Below are 9,236 nucleotides of genomic sequence, written 5' to 3'. Positions count from 1 at the left end.
GTCAGTAAGTGGTGATCTGGTGAGTTTCAGTTCTTTAACACTTTTTGAGATGCCTGGGGGATACTTTCCTGAGGAAGGAACTCAGATAAAACAAATATAGGCTTCAAATTTTGTTTTTTTAGACGGAGTCTCGCTCTGTTGCCCAGGCTGGAGTGCAGTGGCTCCATCTCGGCTCACTGCAAGCTCCACCTCCCGGGTTCACGCCATTCTCCTGCCTCAACCTCCCGAGTAGCTGGGACTACAGGCACCCGCCACCACGCCCTGCTAATTTTTCGTATTTTTAGTAGAGACAGGGTTTCACTGTGTTAACCAGGATGGTCTCGATCTCCTGACCTTGTGATCCACCTGACTCGGCCTCCCAAAGTGCTGGGATTACAGGCGTGAGCCACCGCGCCTGGCCGGCTTCAAGTTTTAAGACCAGAAAGGGGCAATTTCTATGTTTATCCAAAAACAACTGTCCATGAGACTATTGGGTTGGTTTCAATATGATCTTTTGGTCTCTGTCTTTGAATATAATGATGAATTGTTGTAGTTAATTATTGTAGTTACTATAACAATATTCGACTATACTGTTTTCTTATTCTCTCTAAACTTCTTTATTAAGATATGTCATTTCATGCTGTAATATTCCCTAATACCTCCAGAAGACCCGGGCCATTGCTTGAAATAGTTTCCCACAATTCATCAATTGGTTTTCTTTTTTATTTTTTTCTGTCCACAGATTCAATCAACCAAACTACTTGCATGCATATATTTTTCCTCTGCCACTGAATACTGCTGGAGAAAATTATGCCACGTTCTTTATTGCTACTTAAATTTACAATTTTCCTTTAGCAAGACCGTCTCTATACCTTTGTTTCTCCCACTCAGAAAAAAGTGATTTTTTTTCACTTATTGTTCTTAGTTTTAGTGGTTCATTTTATCATCATCATACTTTTCTTTTTAAAATTTTTACACTCAAGTTCCTCATTGTGCTCGTTTATTACATGCTACATAAAATGGTGGCTTTTTTTTTTTTTTGAGACAGGGTCTCACTCTGTCACCCAGGCAGGAGGGCAGTGGCAAGATCACAGCTCACTGCTGCAGCCTTGACCTCCTGGGATCAGTCAATCCTCCCACCTCAGCTGAGTACCTGGGACTACAGACACGAGCCACCCCTGCTGGCTATTTTTGTTGTTGTTGTTGGTAGAAACAGTGTTTTGCCATGTTACCCAGGCTAGCATCAAACTCCTGGGCTCAAGCAATCCAGCTGCCTCCACCTTCCAAAGTGCTGGGATTACAGGGGTGATAATTTTCCTTATCATCTATATATTTCTGCTGGAACAGGGGAGTGACTTTTGAATAAATCATATTTTATGAAATGTGCAGTCTTGTAAGAAAACACATATTTTTAAAAATGACTGCACAAATAAACATTCGTTGTATATTTGGTAGGTGCAATAAAGGGAAATAGTGTGTGTGAAAAGACTAAATAACCATTGTTACCTAACAGTCAATAAAACAGGGCCTTTTTGACAAAGTAATTTTGAGCCAAAACCCAAAATGAAGGAAGAACAGTAGACAAGTGAGAACTAAGTGGAGGAGAATCTCAGACAAATGGTGTGACAAACGCAGTGGTCCTGGGATGAGCGATGTTTTTGTATTACGGAGGGTAATGAAGACTAAGAGTATCAACCCAGGACATTTATTTCTCATTCTATTCTGAGTAACTCTTAAGTCGGGTCTCTGAGATTCATTTTCTGGAAATTCTGCATGTGTGGGTCAACAGAGAAAAGGAGCAAAGATGGTGGAAGAAATCATCTAAGTAGCTTTAAACACAGCCTGGAAGTAAAACCCCAAATAAGAGTAACACGGCCCAAACTAACTGCAAAAGAAAGAGGAAATGTAGACCTCTAGAGTGCCCGGTAAGATGCAATGGGTTATGACGAGTTAGAAATCTCTGCTCAAGAAAGACTAAAGAGACTAAAAGAAAATTAATGTACTTCGTGCCCAAAAAGTAAACTGGAAAGTGTTGTGACATTAGCTGGAGTGTCAGACAGAAAGAAATCATGCCCTTTGAGTAAACATGATTATGTGTTCTCAAATTTATATCCTTCTCACTGCAAAATGCATTCAAGCCATCCCAATATCCACAATAGTCTTAACTTATCCAGCATTAATTCAGAAATCTAGTCTAAAGCCTCATCTAAATACTTTCTAAATCATACATGGATGAGACTCAAGGTACATTCATCCTGAGCATGTTTTCCTACAGTGTGAGACCATGTAATCAAACAGGTTATGTGTTTTGAAAACATAGTGATAGAATGGTTGAAGGACAAACATTCCATTCCAAATGTGAGGAATACAAACAAACAAACAAAAATTAAAAAACGAAAAAACAGAAGTAAAACGTAAGAAGTAAGTCCCAAAGCCAACAGAGCAAGTAATATTAAACTAAAGGCTTGAGAATGGTCTTCGTTGGCTTAATGTTCTGCCCTCTAGACGCCATGGGTCTGCAGTCCCACCTTCTGGACCCACTGTGGCGGGGGTCTTGCCTTTAGGAAACACTGGGGCAGAGGTTCTGCCTTCCTCGGATTCTGGGATGGGGGGTCTTGACGTTATGGCTTTGGGAAACTCCATCCTCAAAGAAGCTCTCTGCCTGGGCCCCTTTCCCGAAGGAATTCTCTGCAGTGGCTTCACTTCCAAGGTGGTCCTTTGTCTGTGTTACACACCAATGGCTTCTCAGGCTGGAATTCTGCAGATGTGGGGTAGTGGGAATTGAATCCTGTATTCTGTGCCATATTCCTGATCTATTGGTCTGTCCCCTTACCAATGCAACATTGTCTTGACCACTGTAGCTATACAGCAGGCCATAATGTCAGGTAAGGTGATTCCTTCCCCTTTTCCTCAACAGTGTTTTAGCTAAAAGAGATTGGATCTTTTCATATGATATCTTTGAGTGAGATTGGCTATATCTAAAATGAGCCAAACTGGAATTTTTTCTTGAAATTCATTAAACTTAGAGATGAATTTCAAGAGAATTGACATCTTCACTTTGTTGAATCTTAGTATGGTATGTCTCCACGTATTTACATCTTCTTTGATTTCTTTTGTTAGAATTTTTTAGTTTACAGAATATAGATCTTATACATACTTTAAGTGTCTACTCAAGGATTTCATTGTCATTGGAGCAATTGAAAATGGCATTGTAGTTTTTAATTTTTGTTCTTCACATATTCATTGTTAGTATAGTCGACCCTTAAATGAGGCAGGAGTTAAGAGAACTGTCCCCTGCACGGTCCAAAATCTATATGCAACAACTTTTGACTCCCCTAAAACTTAACTATTAATAACCTACTGTTGACCAGCAGCCTTACCAATAACATAGTCCGTTCTTACATATTTTGTATATGTATTATATAATGTATTCTTACAATAAAATGACTAGCAAAAATAAAATGTTATTAAGGAAGCCATAAGGAAAATAAAATATATTTACTATTCATTTAGTGGAAGTGGATCTTCACAGATATTCATCTACACATTGAGTCTTCACATTGAATAAACTGAGAAGACGGTGGAAGAGGTGGGGTTAAACTTGCCAGCTCAGGGATGACAGAGGTTGAAGAAAATCTGCATATAAGTGGACCCACACAGTTTAAACCTGTGCTGTTTAAGGGTAAACTATTTATATTAAAATGTGAATGACATATTTGTTGATCATATGTCTTGCAACATTGCTGAATGTCCCTATTAGTTCTAGGAGATTATTTGTAAATTCTCCCTACACAGAGAATTATGTCATTTTCAAAGAAAGTTTTATTTTTATTTTTATTTCCCATCTGTTTGCCTTTTACTTCTTTTTGCGTGTGCGTTTTCTCATTAAACAAGAATCAGAAAAGGAGAGAACCTTTCTTTCTTCTTGGTCTTAGTGGAAAGGCATTTAGTCTTTCACCATAAAGTACTTACTTCTTTCTTTTCATTTTCCTGATGTCAGAACTTAGGTTAACGACTTTACACCTTTCTTCTTTGTTAGTGTGTGCAATGATCTCAGCAATGCTTTAATTATATCCAACTTATTTTGAGATGTTGTATTATCATTTCCACTAAATTTTACATATTTATGTTTTTTGTTTGTTTGAATTTCCTTTGATACTTTTCTTTTGATGCGTGGATTATTTATATGTGTTTTTGTAGTTTAATTTCCAAGTGCATAAAGATTTTTTGTTGTCCTTTCGTTATTGATTTCTAATATGATTTCATTATGGCCAGAGAATGCAATCTCTGTAAAATTTTTAATTATTTTATATTTGTTGAGGACTGTCCTATGATTACAAATATTATCTATTTTGATGAGCTTTTCATTTGTTACTTTATTTTTCATTCTATAATTTCTATTGACTCTCTTTTATAAATTGTAATTTTTGCTTTTTTCCATTTCTTAATTTGTTTCAAGATAACTTATAATTGCTAGTTGAATTATTTTCATGATATTTACTTTAAAATGTTTGGCATATAATTCTAGTAGATGATTTCCTTTCGTGTCACTGTTATCTAATTGTTTCTTTCCCATTCAAGTTGTGATTTTCCTGGTCCTTGATATGAGAGATGATCTCTCTTGTCTTCCAGCTGTAATTTAGGTTGAGGTTGTACATGTGTAGGTTTATTGCACATATAAATTGCATGGTGTGAGGGTTTGGTGTGCAGATTATTTCATCGCCCAGGTAATGAGCATAGTGCCTGATAGATAGTGTTTTGTTCCTCACCTTCTCCTCGCCCTCCACCCTCATGTAGACCCCAATATCTATTGTTCCCCTTTTTTTTTCCCCATGTGCACTCAATGTTTAGCTCCCACTTACAAGAGAGAAGAAGTGGTATTTGGCATTCTGTTCCTGTGTTAATTTGCTTAGACTAATGGCCTCCAGCTCCATCTGTATTGTTGCAAAAGATATGATTTTGGTTTTTATTGCTACATAGTATTCTATAGTGAATATGAACCTCAGTTTTATTATCCAGTCCACCACTGCTCGACATCTAGATTGATTCCATGTCTTTGCTATTTTGAAAAGTACAGCAATGGACATACACTTGCATGTGTCTTTATGGGAGAATGATTTATATTGCATAGAGTATATATACAGTAGTGAGATTGCTGGGTCGAATGTTTGTTCTGTTTTAAATCCTTTGATAAGTCTCCAAACTGCTTTTCAAGTGGCTGAACTAATTTACATTCCCACCAGCTGTCTATAAGCATTCCCTTATCTCTGCAACCTCACCAGTATCTGTTGATTTTACTCTTTAATAATAGCCATTCTGACTAGTGTGAAATGATATCTCATCGTGGTTTTGATTTGCATTTCTCTAATGATTAGTGATGTTGAAAATTCTTTCATATTCTTGTTGGCTTCATGTATGTCTTTTTTTCAGAAGTGCCTGTTCATGTTCTTGCCCATTTTTAAATGGGTTGTTTGGTTTTTGTATGTTAATTTAAGTTTCTTATAGACTCTGGATATTAGACCTTTCTCATATGCATAATTTGCAAACGTTTTCTTCCATTCTGTAGATTTTCTCTTTACTCTGTTATGTCTTTTGATGCGCAGAAGCTCTTTAATTAATTAGGTCCATTTGTTGGCCGGGAGTGGTGACTCACGCCTGTAATCCCAGAACTTTGGGAGGCTGAGGAGGGCAGATCATGAGGTCAGGAGATTGAGGCCATCCTGGCTAACACAGTGAAACCCCGTCTCTACTAAAAATACAAAAAATTAGCCAGGCATGATGGCAGGCGCCTGTAGTCCCAGCTACTCAGGAGGCTGAGGCAAGAGAATGGCATGAACCCAGGAGGCAGAGCTTGCAGTGAGCCGAGATCGTGCCACTGCACTCCAGTCTGGGTGACAGAGCGAGACTCCATCTCAAAAAAAAAAAAAAATTAATTAGGTCCATTTGTCAATTTTTGTTTTGATTACTCTTGGTTTTGGTGTCTTTGTCATGAAATATTTGCTAGTGCCCATATCCAGAAGAGTATTTCCTACATTTTCTTCTAGGATTTTTATAGATTTGTGTTTTACATTTAAGTCTTTAATTCTTCTTGAGTTGATTTTGTATGTGGCAAAAGCAAGGAGTCCAGTTTCAATCTTCTGCATATAACTAGCCAATTATCCCTGCACCGTTTTTTAAATAGGGAGTTCTTTCCTCATTGCTTTTTTTGTCAACCTTGTTGAAGATTAGATGGGTGTAGTAGGTGTGCAGCTTAATTTCTGGGCTCTGTTTTCTGTTCCATTCGTCCATGTATCTGATTATGTACCAGTACCATGCAGTTTTGGTTACCATAGCTTTGTAGTGTAGTTTGAAGTGAGGTAGTGTGATGCTTCTGGCTTTGTCTTTTTGCTTAACATTGTTTTGGCTATTCAGGTTCCTGTTTTGTTCCATATGCATTTTAGAATAGTTTGCTGCTGATTCTGTGAAAATCGTTATTGATAGTTTGATAGAAACATCATTTAATCTGTAGATTGCTTTGGGAAGTATGTCCATTTTAACAATATTGATTTTTCCTATCCACAAGCATGGAATGTTTCTCCATTTGTTTGTGTCATCTCTAAATTCTGTTAGCAGTGTTTTGTAATTCTCCTTGTAAAGAATTTTAAGATGACCTCCCTGGTTAGCTGTATTCCTAGATATTTTATTCTTTTTGCAGGAATCGTGAATGGAATTGTGTTCCTGATTAGGATTTCAGCTTGGATGTTGTTGGTGTATAGGAATGGTACTGATTTTTGTACACTGTTTTCGTATCCTGAAACTTTGCTGAAGATGTTTATCAAGTCTAGGAGACTTTTTGGTAAAGTCTATATGGTTTTCTATGTTTAGAATTTTATTGTCTGTGAAAAGAGATTGTCTGCCTTTCTCTCTTACTATTTGGATGAGTGCTACATATTTCTCTTGCTTTACTGTGCTGGGTTTCCAGTACTATGTTGAATGGAAGTAGAGAGATTGGGCATCCTTGTCTTGTTCTGGTTCTCAAGGGGAATGTTTTCTGCTTTTGTTCATTCAGTATGACATTAGCTATTGGTTTGTTATAGATGGCTCTTCTTATTTTGTGGCATTTTATTTCAATGCCTAGCTTTGACAGTTTTTAACATGAAGGGATGTTGAATTTTATCAAAAGTCTTCTGTGCATCTATTGAAATGATCATTTTTTTAGTTCTGTTTATGTAATGAATCATATGTACTGATTTGCATATGTTGAACCAACTCTACCTCCCAGAAATAAACCTACTTGATTGTAATCTATTGGCTCTTTGATGTGCAACTGATTTGATTGACTACTATATTGTTGGGAAATATCAGGAATATTGACCTGAAGTTTTAATTTTTTTGTTGGGTCTCTGCCAGTTGGTGGTATGAGAATGACACTGGACTCAGATAATAAGTCAGGGAGGAGTCCATCCTCAAATTTTTTGAAATAGTTTCAATAGTGTTGTCACCAACTGTTCTTTATATGTCCAGTAGAATTTGGCTATGAATCTGTCTGTTCAAGGGTTTTTTCTGGTTTGTAGGGTTTTTATTTTTAATTCAATTTTGGAACTCATTATTGGTCAATTCCATGTTTCAATTTCTTCCTGGTTCAATCTGGGAAGTGTTGCAGAAATGTATCCATTTCTTCTAGGTTTTCTAGGTTGTGTGCATAAAGAGGTTTTTTTTTTTTCCTGTATTTCTGTGGGGTCTGTGGAAATGTCTCCTTTGTCATTTCTAAAATATTTGTATTTCTCTCTCTTTTTTTTTCTTTATTAGTCTAGCTGAGGGTCTGTTAATTTTATTATTTCAAATGACCAACTTTTGGTTTAGTTGATATCTTGTTGGATTTTTCAAATGTCAATTTTGTTCAGCTCAATTCTGATTTTGGTTATTTTGTTCTGCTAGCCTTGAGGTTGGTTTGCTCTTGTTTTCTCATTCCTTTAGGTGTGATGTTAGGCTGGTTATTTGAGATCTTTCTAACTTTTGATGTGGGCATTTAGCACTGCCTGAGTTGAGTCCCAGAGATTCTGATATGTTGTACCTTCATTTTCTTTAGTTTCAAAGAATTTCTTGATTTCTGCTTTAATTTCATTCTTTACCCAAATGTCATTGAGAATCAGATAAGTTTTATTTTCATGTAATTGTATGGTTTTGTGAGATCTTCTTAGTATTGATTTTTGTTTTTAATTTAGTTGTGGTCTGAGAGTATGGTTGTTATGATTTCCAGGTTTAAAAAAATTGTTGAGAATTTCTTTGTGGCTGAATGTGTGGTTGATTTTAGCATATGTGCCATGTACAGGTGAGAAAAATTTATATTATCTTGTTGTTGGGTGCAGTGTTCTGTATTTATCTATTAGGTTCATTTGGTCAAGTGTTTAGTTTAGGTACCAAATATCCTTTTTTTTTATTTTCTGCCTTGGTGATCTGTCTAATACTGTCAGTGGTGTGTTTTAAGTCTCCCACTATTACTGCGTAGTTATCTAAATTCCCTAGATATCTAGATCTCTTCCTAGATTTCTAAGAACTTGTTTAATGAATCTAGGTGTCCTAGTGTTGGGTGCACTTATATTTAGTATAGTTAAGTCTTATGGAATTAAATGCTTTATCATTATGTAATGTTCTTCTTTGTCTTTTTTGATAATTGTTGGTTTAAAGTCTATTTTGTTTGAAATAAAAATGGCAGCCCCTCCTTTTTTTGCTGTTTTTTTTTTCATTTGCTTGATAGAATTTTCTCTATCCCTTTACTTTTAGCTGATGTGCGTTCTTGCGTATGATATGGGTATCATGAAGACAGCATATGGTTGGGTTTTGCTTCTTTATCCAACTTTACCCTCTCTGCTTTTAAAAGTGTATGTTTAGCCCATTTATTACTATGTTCAAGGTTACAGTTTATATGTGGGTATTTGATCCTGTCATCACACTGGTAGTTGGTTGTTTTGCAGACTTGTTTGCATAGTGGCTTCATAATGTCAATTGTCTATGTACTTAAGTGCGTTTTGTGGTGGGCAGTAAGGGTCTTTAGTTTTCAACTTTAGCATGCCCCTAAAAACTTCTTACAAAGAAAATCCAATGTAATGAACGTCCTTAGCATTTGTTTGTCTGAAAACAATTTTATTTCTCATTCACTTATAGAGCTTACTTTGGCTAGATATGGAATTCTTGGTAATTTTTTTTTTTTAATTTAAAGATGTTGACTTTTGGGGTTTCTGCTGAAAGGTCTGTAGTTAACCTAATGGGGTTCCATT

The sequence above is a fragment of the Homo sapiens genome, chromosome 21, assembly GCF_000001405.40.
Source record: "Homo sapiens chromosome 21, GRCh38.p14 Primary Assembly".
NCBI lineage: Eukaryota > Metazoa > Chordata > Mammalia > Primates > Hominidae > Homo > Homo sapiens.
Note: the sequence above shows the minus strand (reverse complement) of the source record.